The sequence below is a fragment of the Homo sapiens genome, chromosome 17, assembly GCF_000001405.40.
Source record: "Homo sapiens chromosome 17, GRCh38.p14 Primary Assembly".
Lineage (NCBI taxonomy): Eukaryota > Metazoa > Chordata > Mammalia > Primates > Hominidae > Homo > Homo sapiens.
The window spans coordinates 49,697,348-49,719,066 of record NC_000017.11 but is presented as its reverse complement, the minus strand read 5'-3'; the positions used below and the strand labels follow the sequence as shown (position 1 = coordinate 49,719,066).

Below are 21,719 nucleotides of genomic sequence, written 5' to 3'. Positions count from 1 at the left end.
TGGTCTTGAACTCCTGACCTCATGATCCACCCGCCTCGGCCTCCCTAAGTGCTGGGATTACAGGCGTGAGCCACCGGCCTTTTTTTTTTTTTTGGAGAGTCTCGCTCTGGTCGCCAGGCTGGAGTGCGGTGGCGCCATCTTGGCTCACTGCAATCTCCGCCTCCCGGGTTCAAGCAATTCCCCTTCCATAGCCTCCCCAGTAGCTGGGACTACAGGCATGCGCCACCATGCCCAGGTAATTTTTTGTATTTTAGTAGGGGGTTTCACCATGTTGGCCAGGATGGCCTCGATCTCCTGACCTCATGATCCACCCACCTTGGCCTCCCAAAGTGCTGGGATTACAGGCGTGAGCCACCGTGCTGGTCTCAGGCACATTTTTTTTTCTTTTTTTTTTTTGAGACAGAATCTCGCTCTGTCGCCCAGGCTGGAGTGCAGTGGCGTGATCTGGGCTTACTGTAAGCTCCGCCTCCTGGGTTCACGCCATTCTCCTGCCTCAGCCTCCCGAGTAGCTGGGACTACAGGTGCCCGCCACAATGCCTGGCTAATTTTTTTTGTATCTTTGAGTAGAGACGGGGTTTCACTTTGTTAGCCAGAATGGTCTCTATATCCCGACCTCGTGATCCGCCCGCCTCAGCCTCCCAAAGTGCTGGGATTACAGGCGTGAGCCACTGCGCCCAGCTGGCCTCAGGCACAATTTTATATTGACACAGTTTAATTGGGGAATGCCAGTTGGCCAATATTAATATGATTCTAATGGGCACACTTCTCAGTTTATGATTTACCTACTAGTTGGTTTTGAATTTGCATGTATGCAGGATTTTACATATACCCAAACACATGCACATAATTTGGTGAGCTACAGGTTCAAGTACCATTGAGTGTTTTTAAAAGGGGGTGAGGAGGTATGTAACACATGCTAATCATCAGCATACTTGTTCTGCAATGGTTACAGCACTTATAGGCTCCTGGTGGTTTGCCGCTATTGTGCCCTCCAGCATACGTTATCATCTTTGTGTTCCTAGAGCCCAGGGCACAGAAGGTCCCTGCCCTCATGAGGCTTATAGTCTTATGGGGACAACACATTGATCAAGCCCTACAGGTGAATATGTAATTATACATTGGACTGTGAGTGCTATTAGGGATAAGAGCAAAGTGCTATGGAAGAAACAGGAGGGAGTTTCTTCTAGATTGAAGGGTGGCCAGGGAAATAAATCGCTGGAGGAAATGGTGTTCTGTGGTTGTGTGTCATGGATAGAGAATGACAGCAGCAAGGGAAATACCCTTGGGGTCACTGTGCTGCTGCAGGCCTGAAATACTCAGGGCTGACAGTCTTTACCGTCCTTCCCCGTTAGATCCTTGATATCCCTGATGGGCACCGGGCCCCAGCTCCTCCCCAGAGTGGCAGCTGTGATCATCCCCTCCTCCTCCTGGAGCCTGGCAACCTTGCCAGCTCTCCTTCCATGTCCTTGGCATCTCCCCAGCCTTGTGGCCTGGCCAGTCATGAGGAACATCGGGGTGCCGCCGAGGAGCTGGCATCCACCCCCAACGACAAAGGTAAGCCGCGAAGGCTGAGGCAGCAGGGCTGACTCTGGGGCACATGAGTGGCTCCACTCCCTTTTCCACCTCTAGTCAATTCAGGCCTAGCATTCTCAGTACCCTACTAGAATATCTTTATGAGTCATCTTTCTTCTGCACATTATACCAATGATAATAATGGTCCCATACATCCTGTTCTGATTGATAATTTATGAAGTCACTGCATTTATACTTCTATTTAATCCTCACTGGGATCCAAAGAAGCAATCCCTGCCATCCCCATTTTTGGGCTGAGGTTCAGCAAGCTGTAGGGGAAAGCAGCAAGTCTTCATTCAGGTGTCCACTGTACTCATTCCCAACAATGGTTTCAAAGTGGTTGTGAGTGATACAAAGTAAGAGAATGTGGTTGCTTGCCCAGGGTTGCATAGTTTGACCCAGACCAAAACTCATTTTTTTTTTTTACTCCAAATCTCTATTTTCTACAATGCCCTAGCTACTTCTCTGAGAAAATGAGATGAAATTCCTACCTCCTAATAATAATCCTTACATTATAAAGCACTGTGCCTATGTTGTCTGATTTGATTGTCACATCAACCCCATGAGGTAGGCTGGTCAAGGGCATGATCTAACAATACACATGGGTAAACAGAGCATAGAATAAGGAGGAATAAATGTGAGATAAATACAGATAAAGTCAATATTTGCAACCTAGGCAAAGTACATTCACTGTGTGGAAAGGGAGAGGAATTTTATCCTACAAGTGGGGTTGAGTAAAGATTGCTTCTCTGAGTCGGAGAAGAGTTCTTGGAAGAAAGGATAGATTTTCAAGACTGTGGACAGGAAGAAGCTGTGGTATGTTGGCAGGGAGGGTGTGACAGTCTTGGAAGAAGGCAGAGAGAGACACAGTTAGTATTCCTTCAAGTCTGAGATCTGGAGTTCCGGTCCCAGTCTACCTCCTGGGAATATAGAATTGGTATGAGATCTTAACTTTCCATACATTCAACTCCGTTTTTCTGTTCTGTTATACACTGTGTATTTTTGTAAGCTGCCTCAAAGGTTTTTAAGGTAGAGTATAATCACACTGGATAAGCACACCCGCTACCCTCTTCCTTACCATGTGTCCCCAGCCTTGCCACTTTACACCTCAGTCCTGGACCCAGAAAAGTGGAGGCCTTCCCTTCATCTCCACTAGACTTAGCCTTGCTCTGTTCACAGCCTCCTCTCCAGGACACCCAGCCTTTCTTGAAGATGGCAGCCCATCTCCAGTCCTTGCCTTTGCTGCCTCCCCTCGACCTAATCATAGCTACATCTTCAAACGGGAGCCCCCAGAAGGCTGTGAGAAAGTGCGTGTGTTTGAAGAAGCCACGTGAGTACACCAAGTGGACAGGGTGTGGGAGGGGAGGGTGGGCCTACATTCTCCCACCTTCTTCAGTCTTGGACTCTCTCTTGTCATAGAGGTGTTGTCAACTTTAGATGATAAGTATTGCCAGCTTTCCATGATCAAACGTGTTGACATTACCTACTCTGAGCACTTAAATCTTTGCTTATCATTATCTCCATAGAAACCTGCTCTCTGCCCACATGCCAGCCACAAGCGCAGCAGGAGCTGGAAAGAAAATATATCTGAAACCTAAGCCCTTTGTTTCTTCTATTTTTTTCCATCTCCGGGGAAGGTGTGAGAATTTGCTAGACCATAATCAGAGAGAGAGAGCGAGAGCGAGAGATGGGGGGTGTGGGGAGAACATATTAGTATTTCTCTTCAGTCAGAGATTAGAAGTGTTTCAGCCCCACTGGAGTAGAATGGGGGGCCTAAACAGCTTAACAGTTTGAGCTTCGGAGTCAAGTCTTCACCCTGTGGCTGCAGTGGTTCAAGTGTCATGAACTCCCAGACAGAAATTTCCAGTCCTTGCAAGTAAGGACTATGGAAAATTTCCAAACCAGATTGGATCGTTCAGAAGCCATTCTTCTGTTGATTCTTTACACTTTCCTCCCATTAGCCGAAAGAATTGAGAGCCAACCTTTCCAAATGCCCCTGTCCCCGTTAGCAGGCACCAAAGAGCTCATTTCATTTCCTGCTGCCAGCTTAATACTCACCAGGGCAGATTCACACCAAGTTGGGGTTTCAGTGGCAGTCAGGAAGTTTAGTCATGGTGTGTGAGTGAAGATGTAGCTGGGACTGGATTTGGGTCATTGAGAGCACCATTTGTATCTCAAATAAGGGAGCAATAACCCATGGTGGCAGCCGAAGGTACATACAGAAGCCACAGTAGGAGTTACAGAGAAAACCATTGCCACTAGAGGTTTTGTTACTGTTATTATTGTTGCCTGGGATCCCTTCAAGACTCCTAGGTCCTCTGAGAAGCTGTGGAGGGAAGAGGCCAGATCTCTTAGCTTCAGCAGGCTCTAGACTCTTGTACCCTCCCTCAATCCACATTATGGTGGAGTAATTACAACCTGGAAATGTGGGTGGAAATTAAGCTGTAGCTCATCTTGATTTTTTCATAGACTCAGTGCCAGAAGAGGCCTTAAAGTCAGCTCATTTATCTTCCTGCCCCTGCATTAACCCTTTAAGAGAGGTGGTGGGCTCGGTGCAGTGGCTCATGCCTCTAATCCCAGCACTTTGGGAGGCTGAGGTGCGTGTTTATCACCTGAGGTCAGGAGTTTGAGACCAGCCTGGTCCAACATGGCAAGACCCTGTCTCTACTAAAAATACAAAATTAGACAGGTGTGGTGGCAGGCACCTGTTATCCCAGCTACTCAGGAGGCTGAGGCAGGAGAATCGCTTGAACCTGGGAGGCAGAGGTTGCAGTGAGCCGAGATCACGCCACCGCACTCCAGCCTGGGCAACAGAGTGAGTCTCCATCTCAAAAAAAAAAAAAAGGAAGTGGTGATCAGCTGGGTGCAGTGGCTCACGCCTGTAATGCCAGCACTTTGGGAGACTGAGGTGGGCAGATCACTTGAGGCCAGGAGTTCGAGACCAGCCTGGGCAACATGGCAAAACCCAGCCTCTACTAAAAATACAAAAAGTAGCCGGGTGTGTTAGTGCATGCCTGTAATCCCAGCTCCTCAGGAGGCTGAGGCACGAGAATTGCTTGAACCCAGGAGGTGGAGATTGCAGTGAGCTGAGATCGCACCACTACACTTCAGTAGTCAGGGCAACAGACTGAGACTCTGTCTCCAAAAAAAAAAAAAAAAAGAGTGGTGGTGATCCATCAGTGATTTTCTAAGATATGCCGGGATTTAAATTCTGTAGTTCACTGAGGTTTCTTTATTTAATCAACTTTCCTATTGGGAAGTTTGTGTGTTTAGCCATTCTTCTGCCACATTTCCCCCTTCTTAGCTGTTGTCCCCTCCAAGATCATCTGGATTTTCCAGGCAAGGAGTCAAGGTATTCAGGGTCATGCTGGTTGCCATCATATTCTCTGAGTGTTGCTGGGTCTCCCCTTGGTCACCTTCCCAACACGTACATGCACACACCTAGAACGTTCTCTCTCTTGCCCATTCCCCATCCCTCCGTAAATTGGGACTCTTTTAAACCCTTCTCCATCAGGGAAGCCCTTGCCACTGTGGAGTCTCTAGGACGCCAGGCCTTCCCAAACACACCCACCACGTGGGCCTTTACCCTCCACCTCTCCTGACTCTGTGCCAGGTCTCTGCTCTTCTCTTCACACCTTGCTCTTCCTGGGCTCTAGAATTATTGGAATTCCGGAATTAAGATGGTAATTGGCTGGGTGCAGTGGCTGATACCTATAATTCCAGCACTTTGGGAAGCCAAGGGAGGATTGCTTGAGTCCAGGAGTTCAAGACCAGCCTGGGCAACATAGGGAGACACCCTCTCTACAAAAAATGTTAAAATATTATCCAGGTGTGGTGGTGGGTGCCTGTAATCCTAGCTACTGAGGAGGCTTAGGTGGGAGAATTGCTTGAGCCCAGGAGGTGGAGGTTGCAGTGAGCCAAGATTGCACCACTGCACTCCAGCGTGGACAACAGAGTGAGACCCTGTCCAAAAAAAAAGATGGTAACCAATTTATCAGTCTGTATACTGAGTGCATTTTTCTCTGAGTGTATATATTATACTTCAATAAAAAGTAAAAAAGAAAAAGGTGATTGGTGAGAACCATTGGTGGCAGAGCTTCACCGTCTTCCCATACCTTTGTCTTCTCACCTGGGATTTTCAAACCGTCAGCTTCTTAGGGCTGTTTCACCCTCTAGGCTTGGCCATACAGTAAGGAATCAGGGCTATTCCTTACTCAGGAACTCTCTGACCTGACCTTTTATCATCCCATCTTCCTAAACAATCAAAAGAGGAAGGATGATTCCTCTCACATTATAAAGGTGAGACAGGCTGGGTGCGGTGGCTCATGCCTGTCATCCCAGTGCTCTGGGAGGCCAAGGCAGGAGGATCACTTGAGCCCAGGAGTTCAAGACCAGCCTGGTCAACATAGTGAGACTCCCATCTCTACTAAAAAAATAATAATAATAATAAAATTAGCCTAGAATGGTGGCAGGCATCTGTAATCCCAGCTCCTTGGGAAGCTGAGCAGGAGGATTACTTGCACCTAGGAGTTTGAGGCTGCAGTGAGCTATGATCACACCACTGTATTCCAGCTTGGGTGAGAGAGCAAGACCCTGTCTCTAAAAACAATTAAAAAATTAAAATTAAAAAGGAGGGTGAGACAGATATGACAAGGACCACATGGTGAGTTAGAACCCAGATCTTCCGATAAGGTCTAGCTGCCTTTCTCACAGTTGTTACCATCCTTTCCTCTCAAAGTTTTGAAAATCACACCTTTCTGGAGGCCAGCCTGGGTAGCATACAGAGACCCCTTCTCTACAAAATAAAAGTAAAGCAATTAGCTGGGCATGGTGGTTCATGCCTGTAGTCCCAGCTACTCAGGAGGATGAGGTGGGAGGATTGCTTGGACCGGGGAGGTCGAGGCTGCAGTAAGCCATGATCCTGCCACACCGCACTCCAGCCTGGGCCACAGAGTGAGACTCTGTCTCAAAAACAAAACAACAACAATAAACAACCCCATACCTTTCAAATGTGCCCAACAATTAGATTCTTTAGGCCAGTAGATTTCAACTAGGGAACATTTGGCAATATCAAGAGACATTTTTAGTTGTCACAACTAGAGGGGAGGAGTCGTGGTACTACTGGGGTCTAGTAAGTAGAGGCCAGGGACACTGTTAAGCATCTTACAATGCACAGGACAATGCCTCCATCCCCACCCCGCAACAAAGAATCATCCAGCCCAAAATGTCAGTGGTGCCAAGGCTGAGAAACCCCACTTTAGTCACTTGGCTTTGATCTCTGCTTTCAGGCATGTGGTCTGTCCCCAAAAACACCATTCACTAAGGAAATATTTCTTTTCTTTTCTTTTTGAGATGGAGTCTTGCTCTGTTGCCCAGGCTGGAGTGCAATGGCACGATCTTGGCTTACTGCAACCTCCGCCTCCCAGGTTCAAGTGATTCTCCTGCCTCAGCCTTCTGAATAGCTAGGATTACAGGAGCATGCTGCCACACCCGGCTAATTTTTTGTATTTTTACTGGAGACAGGGTTTCACCATGTCGGCCAGGCTGGTCTCGAACTCCTGACCTCAAGTGATCCATCCACCTTGGCCTTCCAAAGTGCTGGGATTATAGGCGTGAGCCACCGTGCCCGGCCACTGATGAAATCTTTCGAATGAAAAGATTTCTTGGTCTCCACTTCTTGAATCACATTGTCAGGAAGTTCTCCTTCCTGTCTAGCTTCAATCCCTCCTTTTTTTAGCTGAAGAGCATTTCCCGTTGTTTAGCCATATTTTTTTAAAAATAGAGAGATGAGGGGCTTGGTTTTCGGTCAAGTTCCAATTCTGTTTGAACAGAGACCCAGCTCTCCTGCTGCCTTGATGCTGTGACATCTCACCCTCTCTCGCTGTCTGTTTCTCTCTGTGTGTACGTATGTGTCTTGTGTGTCTCTCTTCATCCTCCAGGTCTCCAGGTCCTGACCTGGCCTTCCTGACTTCCTGTCCTGACAAGAACAAAGTCCATTTCAACCCGACTGGCTCAGCCTTCTGCCCCGTCAACCTGATGAAGCCCCTCTTCCCCGGCATGGGCTTCATCTTCCGTAACTGCCCCTCAAACCCGGGATCTCCCCTTCCCCCGGCCAGCCCCAGGCCACCACCTCGGAAGGATCCGGAAGCCTCCAAGGCCTCCCCACTGCCATTCGAGCCATGGCAGCGCACCCCACCATCAGAAGAGCCTGTGCTTTTCCAGAGCTCCCTGATGGTCTGAGGGTCCCACCCCTGCCCCACTTTACCATAGAGACCAGTGCCTTGGTGGCAGGTCCCTCCCCAGGTCCCCTGAGATGGGGTATGGAGGGGCCCTTCCCTCTCGGCCTTCGAGCACTTTCTTTCACTTACTGTGTCAAAGCCCTGGGTCCTCTTTTTGATGGGCACCGGCCCCTCTGAACGTGATGGGACCTGCCTTCTCCACTAGTAGCTGGGCAGCTCACAATTCACACCTGTGTACCTGCCACATCCCTCACTTGGTGGAAAACACCCAGAAGGTCTTGAGTCCCCCACCCCTGGGTGTCAGTCCAAATGACTGTATAGGAGGCCCTTATTTTTGTCACAGAGCAAGCTGGCCATGAACGAAGGAGAGAAGACGCCACAGATTTCCTTCCCTCTCCTCCAGGAGACCATAAGATAGATCCCCCATCCTCTCAGCCCTATTCCCATGCCTCCCTCTCATTGGAGGAGCTGACCAAAGCAGCCCTAACGGGCCATAACACTTGACCAATTCAGCTGCTGGCAGAGGGAGGAAACAAGTGTTTTCCCAAGTGGCATTTTCATCTCGCTTTCACCCTGACTAAAGATTGTCTTAAGTAGCAGCCCAGCCCGCCCAGCCCCAGGTGGGTAGTGGGGAGGAGAGCTGGCATTCCTCCAGGTGGCAAATGGCGACTCTATACTCTCCGCCCGCCCCAGGGCTGGATGGATTAGAAAAATGCCTATTTTTCTTGTATCGATGTAGAGACTCTATTTTCTCCCAAAGACACTATTTTTGCAGCTGTTTGAAGTTTGTATATTTTCCGTACTGCAGAGCTTACACAAAATTGAAGAATGTTAATGTTCGAGTTTTCTTATCTTGTGTTTAGAGGTTGTTTTTTGCAGATCTTGGTGTTAATAGACCAAATAAATAAATAAATATTCCCAGCAGCTTGAAGTTCTGTTAAATATTTGGGGAAGGAGGAGTGGGGTAGAGATTAAGGGTATATACTGATCATTTCATCTTTGTCTTCAAGAGAAGGAGCCTCAATTCCCACATCTGGGTGTTGTTATGGCTGTACACAGAGTTCCTGTCCTCTGGACACCATGCTTGCATACTTTACATGGACATATAAACAACAGACCCATGAAAAGGCTGTCCAGAATGAAGAGGGTGGTTTGTCCTAGAGGTGGGGTGAGGGAGTCACTGGGGAAGTTACCCATTCTTGTATGAGTCTGAAAAAGCTCCCTAAGGAGAATGGATTTCAGAAAGGAAAAGCAGGTGACCAAGGGAAGACAGTTTGACATTGTGGGTGTTCTTTGCACTGGTTGGATCTCTTGACAGTTTTGGGGAAGCTTTGGTTCATCTCAGGGAGTACCCACAACATAGTGTGCAGCCTTAAAGGGAACAAAGAAACTATACAAAGACACTACTCTTATCCTTTCGCAGCCTTTATAATGCTGCACCTGTAAGAGCTCTTAGGCTTTTGGGGAAAATGGGAATAACCATCTCAATATTTCAATGATGCTTTGGAATTTCCGAAGCATTTTCACAAAAGACACATCCCCATTGTATGGGTGAACAGTTGACTACCCCAAGGGCAGTCATAATAAGTACAATTGTATCTGCCTCATAAGACCTGACAACAAACTCCTAAACCAGGCTATCCCAACCACCATTCATTGGGCTGGTAAGAACCAGCTACCATGTTAAGTGCTTTACATAAAGTGTTATTGAAATATGACAACCACCCAGTAAGAGAAATATGGTAAGTCCCACTGTATAATCAGGAAAGGACAAATAGATCGAATAACTTTCCCCAAAAGACACAGATATGAAGTGGGAGAGCTAGGATTGGAAACCTGATCATTTGAATCCAGTGCCCATGTTTCTAACCACAGCGCTCTCCTGCTTGTTATTATATTCCCATTAATTTCACGTGAGGAAACTCGACTCAGGACAAGCGAATTGTTTGAGGTCCCAGCTGGTAAAGAAGTAGAGCTGGCAGGTCTCTCTTCCCAGCTATTTGGTGCCCTGGCATCGCGGGCTGAGCCAGTAGAGTAAGCTAGTGAGCAAGAGAGCAAATGTATGGGGCTTTCCCATGCCACTAATATCGAGGAGACAGTGGGCTGGGGACACCCTATCTTCTATCCCTTACTCCTCCCTCTAAAAGACTTCTGGCTCCCCCGCAAAGCCTTATTGAGTCAGGCCCGGAGCGATGGGTGTGGTGCTGCCCAGTATTTCCTTCCTTTGCCTGAGGCTGTGCCAAAAGAGCAGGCTGCTAGAAGAGGAGCCTCGACCTAGAGAGCAGCCCAGAGTCCACCAGGTGGCCGGAGATTTGGGCCAATTAAGTAGGGGGTTGGAGGTAGTAGTAGGAAGACCTGAGGTCAGTCTTGCCCTGGCAATTCGTGCCAGCAAGTGAAGACCCAACACTTGCATGAGGAAGGGATCCAACGAGGAGCTCATTAATGGGAAATATTCAGGAGCGCGGCCGAAGGGTTTGCGCCATTGTTGGTGAGTTGTTAAGACTTGGAAGAAAACTGACTTCAGTAAGCTTCCATTTCCACCCCTCGATGTGAGGAAATAAGATCAGGGCTGACAAACAGTGATGACTAATAATACCTTAAGCTTGCACAGCATACTTTACAGTTTACAAAACACTCTTATTTGATCCTCACAACAGCCAAGAGGCGACAAGGTGGCTATTACTAATTATCCCTAGTTTCCAGACCTGGAAAACTCTGGCTCAGAACTTGGGTGACACGGGTAGGTTACCCCGCCTTTAAGTGACCAAGCCGAGACTTACTGTGCCGCTCTCCCCCTTGGAAGCCTAGTGATGTGCCTAGGTAATGAGCAGGTAAAGTCGCTGACGCTGGGCAGCAGCTAGACGGCGCTGAAGCTCCAGTAAGGAATTTGGCATTAGGACCCAGCAGAAGCCTGGCCGCCCGCCGCGGAAAAGACTATTGGATTTGCTCTGCCGACCACACCTCCTCCCGCCCCGCCTACCTGTCCGTCTTCGCACAGCGCAGCCAATTGGTGGCCTCCACATCCTTATACGTCATTATTCTACGCCCAGGTGGCTCTAGGACACCCTGTGGTGCTCTGGGTCGCAGTTGTCCTCAGAGTTGCCTGATTGGAAAAATCTCCAGGGCGAGGGATCAGTCTCGAGGCTGCCGGTTCCCCTGGCCCTCAGGGATGGAGCCAAGGTCCCAGGGCGGGTTTTCTTTCCTAGGAAGTGGTTGCTGGGTTCTGAGGAGTTTCCCCCTTGGCAGCCATGAGCCGGCAGTTCTGGTAGTGACTGCTGGGCCCTGCTGGACAGCGGTCGCATGCAGCTCCTATGAGGCCCCTGCCGCCGGTCGGCGATGTCCGGCTGGAGCTGTCGCCTCCGCCGCCGCTGCTGCCGGTGCCGGTTGTGAGCGGGTCTCCAGTCGGCTCCTCTGGGCGTCTCATGGCCTCTAGCAGCTCCCTGGTGCCCGACCGGCTGCGCCTGCCGCTCTGCTTCCTGGGTGTCTTTGTCTGCTATTTTTACTATGGGATCCTGCAGGAAAAGATGTGAGCGACCCCGGGGGCGGGCCGACAGTCTCTCCCCAGCCTGTGACAGGGATCCCGGGCCTTCTGCCTCTGGACCCGGGCTTTCCTCTTGTCCTCCTGCCCGGCTGTCGCCCTCTTAGCACCCTACTACTTTTGCAGCTATGGCTGAGCCTACCCAGAATTCCAGAACTCCAGGATTATTTTCTGGATTCTTCGGACTTGGTTATTTTCTTTTCTTAGCTGTTTTTCCCCGCTTGGTTCTAAGGGCCTGCGTTTTACAGGCTGAGACTTCTATTCCTCAAACAGGACCCGAGTCGGCCCCCTTTTGGTACTCCCAGATGCTTGCAAACAACCTATTCGTCCTCGGCCTTGGTGCCATAGCCGAAATACCGTCTCCTCCTGCCTGGGGTACCTGATTTCACTATCTCGTTCTGCATGTTTCCTCTCCGTCTTTTTCGGGTATTCTTTTCTTAGGCTTTGGAATCAGTAGGCTGGGATGTCTAGTTTCTAGATCCAGTAAAATCAGCCCCTTTTGCAAATGAGCCTAGTGGTCCTTAACAAACTCTGCCTACATCCAGAGAGGCAAGATAATTTTAAAGTTTTCAGTGGCTCGGGATATATTAGATGACAGTGAGTGAAATACACTAATTTCTCCCTCTTTTCTCATGCATTTCATTTCTAGAACAAGAGGAAAGTATGGGGAAGGAGCCAAGCAGGAGACGTTCACCTTTGCCTTAACTTTGGTCTTCATTCAATGTGTGATCAATGCTGTGTTTGCCAAGATCTGTGAGTACCCAGATAGTAATTTGTTGGGTACCCCACCACCCCAAGTTCCCTCAGTATGCTGGGCATTAAGCATTGATTCAACCTTAAAGGCTAACTCATGATCTCCACCCCATTTTGTACTTACACAGCCTCTCTGTGAAGTCTGTAAAACTAATGACTTTGAAGTGGAGTAAAATATTATTTCCCCAATTTTTATCAGCTTCTGAGTTAGAAATGTTCAGAGAATGGGTCTTCTATATTCCAAATCCCCATTGAAAATACTTAAAACATTTTTTTCTTTCCCTTTGAGTTTCTTTTGTGTGTCAGCTTCAAGCATGCTTTGAGCATTCTCTCTTTGTTCCCTGGGGACTAGCAGCAGAGCTGACTGGTCCCTTGAACTGAATGAGGCCCCCACCTCCACCCTGCATGTGGTCTTTTGTTGGGCTTAGGTAGAATTGGAAAGATGAATAATTTTCAGAGATTTCCCAGTGTAACAGGACAGAAATAGCTTGTGTCTTGTTTGACAGACAAGTTCCTTTCATGTGGCTTCAGCTTTGCTTAGTGGTCCATCCTAGCCCCACCAGGTTTCTCTTGTTTTTTTTTTTTTTTCTTTTCTTTTCTTTTTTTTTTTTTTTTTTTGTCTTCTCCCAGTGATCCAGTTTTTTGACACTGCCAGGGTGGATCGTACCCGGAGCTGGCTCTATGCTGCCTGTTCTATCTCCTATCTGGGTGCCATGGTCTCCAGCAATTCAGCACTACAGTTTGTCAACTACCCAACTCAGGTGAAACCTCAGGGTGGGATGATGGTTGGCTCAGATATCATTTGAAAAGGACTAAGAGTTCTTCCCTCAGGTCTGTGAGTTAAAAAAAAAAAAAAAAAAAAGATAACGGTCCTGTAAGACATTGGGAGTGTATAGAACCATAGAACTTACGTTTAGTGGTGGTGGGTTGGGCCATGATAGGGCTGCTTTCTGAGGCTGAGGTCTCTGGTGCAGGCCCTGTGCTTACTCATCTTAATCAGTGCGGTACCTAGCATAGTACCTGACACATCACAGATGCTCAGAAATTATTTGCTGGATTTAATTTCAGGTCCTTGGTAAATCCTGCAAGCCAATCCCAGGTAAGCAAAGAAGATGGTCTTCCTCTTCTGTCGTCACTCTTCCTATAGTAAGCTCTCTCTCTGCTACAACTGTGTCCCTCTCGGCTTCATCATCCCATCATGGCTGTCTCCAGGGACTTTCCCCCAGCTCTCCCTGCTGCCCATCCTGTCATCTGTGTCACTTCTTGTGATGTTCATAGGCTGGTAATCCTTAATAGGAGCTAAAGGCTGACCTAGCCTGCTTCACTTGGTCAGCCATTTCTGTGTTGCATGTGTTTATATTGTCATTAGACAACTTAATTCCCATTTTGATCATCAGTTTCTTTATCTCAACTTCTTTTCCTTCTCCACTGTTCCCTACCCTTGTCCTGTCCCTTCCTGGACTTTTCACCTTTGTTCTCTACCTCCTCCCTGTCTTATACTTAACCCTGTTGCTCAATCCTTATCTAGGTGCCAGCCTGGCACCCTCCTTTTGTCCTCTCTAAGCCTTCCTTCTCAGTCATTCTTTTCTCCCTGAGTCTTTTCTTGGTTCCTGGGAGGGAGGGCATTGGGGTCATCAATACCTTATGGATGCCTGAATTTTCCACTCTGTTTTTTCCCTGTAGTCATGCTCCTTGGGGTGACCCTCTTGAAGAAGAAGTACCCGTTGGCCAAGTACCTGTGTGTGCTGTTAATTGTGGCTGGAGTGGCCCTTTTCATGTACAAACCCAAGAAAGTTGTTGGGATAGAAGAACACACAGTCGGCTATGGAGAGCTACTCTTGGTATGAGATCCTGTTGGGGAAGGCACCCTTTTCCAGCAAACTTAACCAAAGGATAGTCTCACCTAGGCAGGTAGAAGGCCAGTTCTGTGTCAAGGGAGGTTGTGGTGCTCCTTGTCCCCATATCTGCTCTTTGCTGCAGGCCCCTGACTCTATTAATGCCATAGTGGGAAACCTGAAATATTTAACTACAACTCAGCTCTCATTCTGGAGAAGAGATAACTCTGAGGGTTGTGGCTGAATCCTGGTGTGAGGTCACAGAGACCTGAGAGCAAAGAGGGAAGGAATAATGTCTCTCACTGTGGCTTTCCAAGAAACCTGGAAGCCAGAGTTTAAAATAATATGATAGTAGCTGGTATGTATGCATTAGGCACTGTTCCGAGTGTTTTACATGTTAATTGACTAATTTTTACAACAATAATCTCATATGTAGTATTATCTCCATTTTACAGATGAAGAAACTAGGCACAGAGAAGTTAACTCGCTTGCCCATGGTCACTTGGCTATTTGAAGTGGTAGAGTCAGGATTCCAATCCAGGCAGCCTAAGCACAGGATCCGGTCTCTGGAGCACTATACTCCAAGCTAGGAAGCTAACCTGCTGGGACTACCTTTCCCCTCCCAGTATGTTGGGAAGTGAGCTTCCTGCTCTACTCTGATTACAAAATCACTACGTAGCTCAGTTAGCCTGTCAGTCCAGTGCGTGGGCCGGGGGGCGGGGGTGGGGGGTAGTGAGCATGGTCTCTCCCCACCTTCCACCTGTGACCAAATGGCAACGTTTTGTTCTGAGGACTTTAAAGGCAGTGGCTTTCCAAGGAGCCTGAGAGTGAGAATCCTGTGTCCTGGGTTTGGAAAGGGCCCTGTTGGCCACTTCACTGCAGGCTGCACCCTTTCTTTCCCAGCTATTATCGCTGACCCTGGATGGACTGACTGGTGTTTCCCAGGACCACATGCGGGCTCATTACCAAACAGGCTCCAACCACATGATGCTGAACATCAACCTTTGGTCGACATTGCTGCTGGGAATGGGTGAGAGCCAGTTCTGCTGTTCTTCCCATGTATCACCAGAGGGCAGGCTGCCCTCATCCTTTTGATCCCTCTAGCTGTTAGTTGCCCAGACCAAGGGCCTGAATTAGTTCCAAGATGCCCTTTTGTTCAAGCCCTTGAGAAACCTTCCTGGAAAAACCTGCACCAGCAGGATTTGTTTGCTACTTGTTACTGGCACAATGAAGGAGAGTCGTGTGTCAGTTGTCATGGGAAGACACTCAGTAGTAAAACACAGGGAGGTACCTGGGAACTTTCCCTTTCATGAGGGAAATGAGACACACGTAGTGCTCACAGGAAACAGAGTTAGCTGTACACTGAAGACAGTTCAAATGTGAATGATTTGCTTTGAAATCAGTGCTTCCTAACTTTTCAAATTTGGGCACATGTAGAAAGTATTTTTTATACAGCACACTGGGGTTAATGGTGGAGGCTGCTGATGGCTGAAGGTGACTAATGCGAGGGGCTTCCTTGAGCTAAGGATGTGTGGGTCAGCATCTCTACAGCATCTGAGGATTTCTGCTTGTAATCACTTTGGTAGAAGTAACTCATTAACTTTCAAGCCTTTCTCACAAAATTCTCTTTAGTTTCTCTAATCAGAGAAAAATATGAGAAGAATCAATGATGAGACGATGCAAACCCACACCATACACTTTCCCGCGTCCCACCTCCCTTGCAGTTCTTTAACAGGCCATGTGCAGGAGTGTCTGTGTGTGTGTGTGTGTGTGTGTGTGTGCGCACATTTTGTGTGCACAAAATGCGCCGTACATTTGTTGACATGTCTTCTCAGGAATCCTGTTCACTGGGGAGCTCTGGGAGTTCTTGAGCTTTGCTGAAAGGTACCCTGCCATCATCTATAACATCCTGCTCTTTGGGCTGACCAGTGCCCTGGGTCAGGTGAGTGCTTGAAAGGGGATGGCTTGGCTTCCCTACTCTGGCAGCTGGTTCCCTAAGAAAGACTGGCCTGGCTGGAAGAAGAGGGTGGCAAGATTAGCCCTGAGGTCTGTTTATAGACTTTAGACCAATGGCAGATACCCAGAAGCCCACCGGACCTCACCTTTATCTTTCTCTAGAGCTTCATCTTTATGACGGTTGTGTATTTTGGTCCCCTGACCTGCTCCATCATCACTACAACTCGAAAGTTCTTCACAATTTTGGCCTCTGTGATCCTCTTCGCCAATCCCATCAGCCCCATGCAGTGGGTGGGCACTGTGCTTGTGTTCCTGGGTAAGTGGCCACACAGAGACACAGTGACAGCTGAATTTTTTCTCCTAAAATTTACTTGTATATTTATGAAATTTGTTTAAATATTTTAGAGAAAACTTTTCTCTTTTTTTTGAGACGGAGTTTCGCTCTTGTTGCCCAGGCTGGAGTGAGTGCAGTGGTACGATCTCAGCTCACCAATCGGGTGAGCCTCCTCCTCCTCCTGGGTTCAAGCAATTCTCCTGCCTCAGCATCCGGAGTAGCTAGGATTACAGGCATGCACCACCATGCCCGGATGATTTTGTATTTTTAGTAGAGATGGGGTTTCTCCGTGTTGGTCAGGCTGGTCTCGAACTCCCAACCTCAGGTGATTCCCCCCGCCTCAGCCTCCCAGAGTGCTGGGATTACAGGCATGAGCCACCGCGCTCAGCCCAGAGAAAACTTTTTTAAAAGAGAAAAGAGGCTGAGTGTGGTGGCTCACGCCTGTAATTCTAACACTTTGGGAGGCTGAGGCAGGAGTATCGCTTGAGTTTAGGAGTTCGAGACCAGCCTGGGCAACATGATGAGACCCTTGTCTCTGCAAAAAAATACAAAAATTAGCTGAGCATGGTGGCAGACGCCTGTGGTCCCAGCTACTCGGGGCTGAGGTGGGAGGATCGTTTGAGCCCAGGAGGTGGAGGCTGAGGTGAGCTGTGATCACACCACTGCACTCCCACCTGGGTGACAGAGTGAAAATCTGTATCCAAAGAAAATAAAAGGAGAAAAGGAAGCTTTATTTCTAATCCAGCCTTCCTAGGGTCTCCCTCTGTTGCTCAGGCTGGAGTGTAGTGGCATGATCATAGTCCACTGCAACCTTGATCTCCTGGACTCAAGTGATCCACCCACCACAGCCTCCCGAGTAGTTGCGATTATAGGCATGTACCACAATACCTGACCAATTTTTTTTTTTTTTTTTGTAGCGATGGGGTCTTGCTGTGTTGCCTAGGCTGGCCTTAAACTCCTGGGCTCAAATGATCCTCCTGCCTCAGTCTCCCAAAATGCTGGGATTGCAGGTGTGAGTCACCACATTCAGCCATAGCCTAGAAGTTTTGACTCTTAAATTTCTTTTAGTCTTGCTGTATTATATATGTATCTATATCTATCTGTATCTCTATATAGATATATTTATATAGATACAGATATCTGTAATAACTAGTATCCTGGTGCCATTCTCTTGTCTCTGAGGAAGTTACATAAAACCAGTGTTCTGACATGTATTTTATTTAAAGCCCCCATTTTGGAGATACAAGGCCGACTACCCCACCCCACCACAATCATTGGTAAGTTTCATTTCCCCCCATAAGGCTAAGCCCATTTTCTTCCTTTTCATAGGTCTTGGTCTTGATGCCAAGTTTGGGAAAGGAGCTAAGAAGACATCCCACTAGGAAGAGAGAGACTACCTCCACATCAAGAATATTTAAGTTATTATCTCAAACAGTGACATCTCTTGGGAAAATGGACTTAATAGGAATATGGGACTGAGTTCCAGTCTTTTTTAATAAAATAAAATCAAGCAAAATCACATATTCTAAAAAATGCACTTGGATTTTAACAAGACAGAGTGGTGGTTTTTGTTCTTCATGCCCTGGAGCAGTCTATGGTAAATAAAAGAGGGAGGGAAGAGGCAGAGCTGGATGTTCATTACCCAGGCTGCTCCTCTCACGGGTGTGGTTAGCATGGTTGAGTGGGCGATTCCTCCAAGAACCTGAGGATTATAGGGAGGAACTCTGTGAGATCGCAGAATTGTGCTAATGGCTTCTGTTCCGATGGGTGAGGCTTGTCCCGTTAGAGCTGGTCCCATTAGAGGACGGGTGGCTGTCCATTAGAGCCAGAGAATGTAAAAGTCACTTCCTCTCCTAAAGCTCCTGTGGGCAAATATTTCATTAAAAAAACAAAGTTGTGTTCTGTCTTTTTCTTAGGCCTGGTGCAGTGGCTCACACCTGTAATCCCAGCACTCTGGGAGGCTAAGGCAGCAGGATCACTTGAGTTCAGGAGTTTGAGACCAGCCTAGACAACATAGTTAGACCTTGTCTCCACTAAAAATCAAAAACAGAAAAGAAATATTCATTGAGGCTGGGGTAAAACGAACCCAGAGTTTCAGAATCTACTGTTTTGCCATTTCCCCACTGCCTCCCCTTCAGCCACAGCTCTATCAAGACCAGAGTGGAGACCCAGTGCATACATCATGATCAGCTTTGGAAGGTCTGTGATGTACTTTTCCTGATATTCCCCCTCCATCTGTCTGTCTGTTCTCAGTCTACCTGGTCCCCTCCAGGGAGGCTGGGTTAATCCCTCCTATTCCCCTGCCTCCTCCAGCTGCTGAAGCATTGCAGTCCTCTGCCATCCTTTGCTGTGCCAAGGTGTCACCATGCCAGCTTCTGCCTGTTGAAAGGGATGCTGGCGGAAGTCATGGTGGCTGAGTCCTGGCACAGCCACTGTCGAGTTGTCTGAGTGGCAGCAGAGGGAAAAGGCGGAGTATGGAGCAGAGCCACCTGCCCACTGCTGCCTTTAGAGTTGGAAATCGCAATCCTCCAAGGACCAAACTTTACACATGAAAGTGCATTTCCACCAGCTGCAACTTTCTCTCCATCTGTTCAGCAGCCCCAGCCCCTTGGCTCTCCAGATGGGAGCCCGGCCTCCTTCCTGAACGGCTGCCTTGCCACCCCCCGCCCAGCCTTTCAAGCCCTGCCTCACTTGTGCTCATCTCACTCTCTGGGGACCCAGGTGTCGCTGCAGCCCTGCCCCCAAAAGCCCCCTATCATTTTGAGCTGCTGGAGAGAGAAGATGCTTTAAGTACATCTGGCTGAACTTCCTTCCTTCCTTTCTCCACCCTCTTTCCCCTGTCTTTTTTTTCACCCTGAAAGTTGCATCAATTAGCTTCTTCCCTACTAGATTTATGGGTCTTCGAAACTGTCTTCTCCTGTGGATTGGTTAGGTGGTTAGAGCATGTTACTAGGGCCGGGGACCTGCAAGTGCAAGCAGTTGTCATCTGGGCCTGTTTTAAGAGACATCTTCCCAGCTACCAGACCAATTCCCTCTACCTCTTCCTTCTACCATTTTCAACCGGTTGTCTCAAAAACGCTTAATACTAGTCATGAGCAAGGCAGGGTTTCAGCAGCTCAGCATGGCTCTCACCTGTTATTAGAGAAATGGCTTGTAGAGCAAGCCTGTCCTACCCAGGGTGGGCTAGGGGCCCAGTTCTAGTGTATTTGTTCAGTCCCCTGTCCATCCATCTTACATTTACTTCCTTTTGGGTGCCATGTATTGTGAACATGCTGGGAGTTCAAAGTTAAGTAGGACTAGAACTTACACTCTAGGGACTTCACAGTCTAATAGGGAGACAGGAAAACACATTATTGCATCTCAGAAATGCAGGGATAACAACGAAGGAAGGTGTCTGGGCAAGGTGAGGCTTGAGCTGGAGAGTGTAGGAAGATGAAAGGAGGAGGAGGAGCTGGAGCTTGGGCTCCACTGCCAAGCAGGAAAAGGGGTGCCTGACTACCTTTCGCCCCTTGCTCCTGCCTAGGTCAGTTCCATAGGGAACATATAGAAGAAGAGCAGATTTTACAGGAGGCATTGTTTTGCTCAACTTGAAGATACCTGAAAAGGTTCTGTGAGCTGCCAGCTTGCTTGGGGTGTCAACTTACCTGCAGGATCACAGGGACTGGGAGAGTCAAAGTTGACTAAAGTCAGTAACACTGTTAACTTGTAATAGGGCTGATAAATGTGAAATACCAGACAAGTTCAAACAAAAGTGATGGTGATGGCTAACCCTGGGCGGCCTGATGCCTCAGGTTTCTACAGATCAAAGGACTTTCATCTGCAGTTAATTCTCAGCTATGTGTCGAAGGGAGGGAACCGGCACACAAATTTCCCGACACTGTTTTTCGTTTGGGGTGTATGGTGCTTACAGCTATTTTGGTCAAAGCATCTGAGCCATCTCCTTTACTGTTCATGCTCAGATGCATGATAAAATGATTTTTCATTCCCTGTTCACCTTTTCATCTGTGGCAAGGGGAGTAACCCCCTGCCCCCACTGCCCCGCTGCAGTGTGATTTGGGGTACGATCATGGGGAAAGCTATTCTGGAGTTAAACATTAAAAGAAACTGAAGTCCCATGTTGTTTTTAAAAAGACTTAAGGTGGCAGGAATTAAACATGAATGGTAGGTAATCTATCAAGTGAGGTATTTAGGAATGGATTATGTGTTTTCTCACAGCTTCGTACCACCCTTGTGAAAAGGGGACTCAGCAGACATCCACACTTTTTAGAGTTGGGAAAACCTAAATGACGGAGAGTTAGGTGACCTGTGGTTGGTCCCTAGGTATGTCCCTGAGACACAAACTAGAACTCCAGGCTCCCTGAATTCAAGTTGCGTTTTGGACCTGTGCCCTCTGAGGGAGGAAAGTGAAGCCCCCACTGGGAGACCCTTTGCCTCTGTCTGGCCCCGCTTATCAGTGGAACAGTTTGCAGGTTTTATGAGTAGTGCTGGTCATTTTCCCCGGATGCCCTGGCAGAGAAATTGTCCTGAGTCTCTGTGGAATCATTCAGCCCTTCCCACTAAAAACACACCAGCTGTCTTTGGGAACAGTAATCTCATATATTTATAGAGCGCCTTCTTTCCCAAAGCTCTTTAGTACGTGACATTTTATCCTTAGAACACTCCTGGGAAGAGGTTGGGCCAGAAACCAGTCTCCCCATATTTGGAAGAGGGAGCCTGAAACCCACCAAAATGCATCAGCTGAAGGTCGCGTTGCACTGCCCCACAGGAGGGCAGGAGCCTCCTATTTCACTTCCCACTTTCCAGGGTCAGGGAACCCTAACCCTCAGTGGGCTAAACTAGTGGTTTCCAGCTGTTTGGATTTTCTGAAAGTTCCCAGTAGAATTTTCAAATAATTTGGAGGTATGCTGGCTTTTAATTTTTTTCAAGTAAGGACATTTAAAAAAAATCAAATATCACCATTGTGGTTTAAAAAGTTTTGTTTTTTTTTCTGAGACAAAGTCTGGCTCTGTTGCCCAGACTGGAGTGCAGTGGTGCGATCATGGCTTGCTGCAACCTCCACTTCCTGGGCTCAAGCCAACCTCCCACCTCAGCCTCTTGAGTAGATGCGTCTACAGGTGCATGCCACAACACCTGGCTAATTTTTGTAATTTTGGAGAGACGGGGTTTTGCTATGTTGCCCAGGCTGGTCTCAAACTCCTGAGCTCAAGGGATCCACCTGCCTCAGCCTCCCAGAGTGCTGGGATTACAAGCATGAGCCACCACTCTTGGCCTAACTCAGAAGATTTTAGGAAAAGCTATCCAACCTCACAAAAAAGGACCCTTCTTCCAAAGAAATTACGATTGGAGGCCAGGCATGGTGGCTCATGCCTGTAATCCCAGCGCTTTGGGAGGCTGAGGCGGGAGGATCACCTGAGGTCAGGAGTTCGAGACCAGCCTGACCAGCATGGTGAAACCCCATCTCTACTAAATACAAAAAATTAGCTGGGCATGGT

The 21,719-nt window shown here is 48.0% G+C and overlaps 2 protein-coding genes across 10 annotated transcripts in view, besides 3 other annotated features; both read left to right on the top strand.

Moving 5' to 3' along the window:
- FAM117A (family with sequence similarity 117 member A) overlaps positions 1 to 8,735 on the top strand; it is a 78,779-nt gene extending 70,044 nt beyond the window's left edge. For all 5 annotated transcript variants that reach the window (XM_047436858.1, NM_030802.4, NM_001411126.1 and 2 more), the window contains exons 6-8: positions 1,353 to 1,554; positions 2,752 to 2,902; positions 7,512 to 8,735. In XM_047436858.1, the coding sequence (XP_047292814.1) occupies positions 1,461 to 1,554; positions 2,752 to 2,902; positions 7,512 to 7,812 (546 nt within the window). In that variant the 5' untranslated portion in view covers positions 1,353 to 1,460 and the 3' untranslated portion in view covers positions 7,813 to 8,735. The remainder of the gene's footprint in view (positions 1 to 1,352; positions 1,555 to 2,751; positions 2,903 to 7,511) is intronic.
- Positions 10,533 to 11,166: an enhancer, noted in NCBI's record as "H3K27ac hESC enhancer chr17:47785263-47785896 (GRCh37/hg19 assembly coordinates)". NCBI's record gives its function as "activates a minimal SCP1, AML or CMV promoter by ChIP-STARR-seq in primed H9 embryonic stem cells {active_cell/tissue: H9 hESC(primed)}" and the evidence as "EXISTENCE:reporter gene assay evidence [ECO:0000049][PMID:30033119]".
- On the top strand, positions 10,870 to 18,124 carry SLC35B1 (solute carrier family 35 member B1). Of its 5 annotated transcripts, XM_006721632.4 has the most exons (10): positions 11,103 to 11,337; positions 11,623 to 11,724; positions 11,999 to 12,102; positions 12,733 to 12,863; positions 13,171 to 13,201; positions 13,786 to 13,943; positions 14,841 to 14,967; positions 15,773 to 15,879; positions 16,056 to 16,209; positions 17,557 to 18,124. In XM_006721632.4, the coding sequence occupies exons 1-10, from the start codon at positions 11,123 to 11,125 to the stop codon at positions 17,607 to 17,609; spliced, it is 1,182 nt and encodes a 393-aa protein (XP_006721695.1). In that variant the 5' UTR covers positions 11,103 to 11,122; the 3' UTR covers positions 17,610 to 18,124. The 5 variants fall into 5 exon arrangements, with proteins under 5 accessions (XP_011522482.1, XP_006721695.1, NP_001265713.1 ...); XM_011524180.3 differs by lacking the exons at positions 11,103 to 11,337; positions 11,623 to 11,724 and adding an exon at positions 10,870 to 10,991 and having other exon boundaries at positions 12,758 to 12,863; NM_001278784.2 differs by lacking the exon at positions 11,623 to 11,724 and having other exon boundaries at positions 12,758 to 12,863.
- Positions 10,899 to 11,038: an enhancer, noted in NCBI's record as "active region_12369". NCBI's record gives its function as "activates an Ori minimal core promoter by ATAC-STARR-seq in GM12878 lymphoblastoid cells {active_cell/tissue: GM12878}" and the evidence as "EXISTENCE:reporter gene assay evidence [ECO:0000049][PMID:35858748]".
- Positions 11,167 to 11,800: an enhancer, noted in NCBI's record as "H3K27ac hESC enhancer chr17:47784629-47785262 (GRCh37/hg19 assembly coordinates)". NCBI's record gives its function as "activates a minimal SCP1, AML or CMV promoter by ChIP-STARR-seq in primed H9 embryonic stem cells {active_cell/tissue: H9 hESC(primed)}" and the evidence as "EXISTENCE:reporter gene assay evidence [ECO:0000049][PMID:30033119]".
- Positions 18,125 to 21,719: the final 3,595 nt, after the last annotated feature.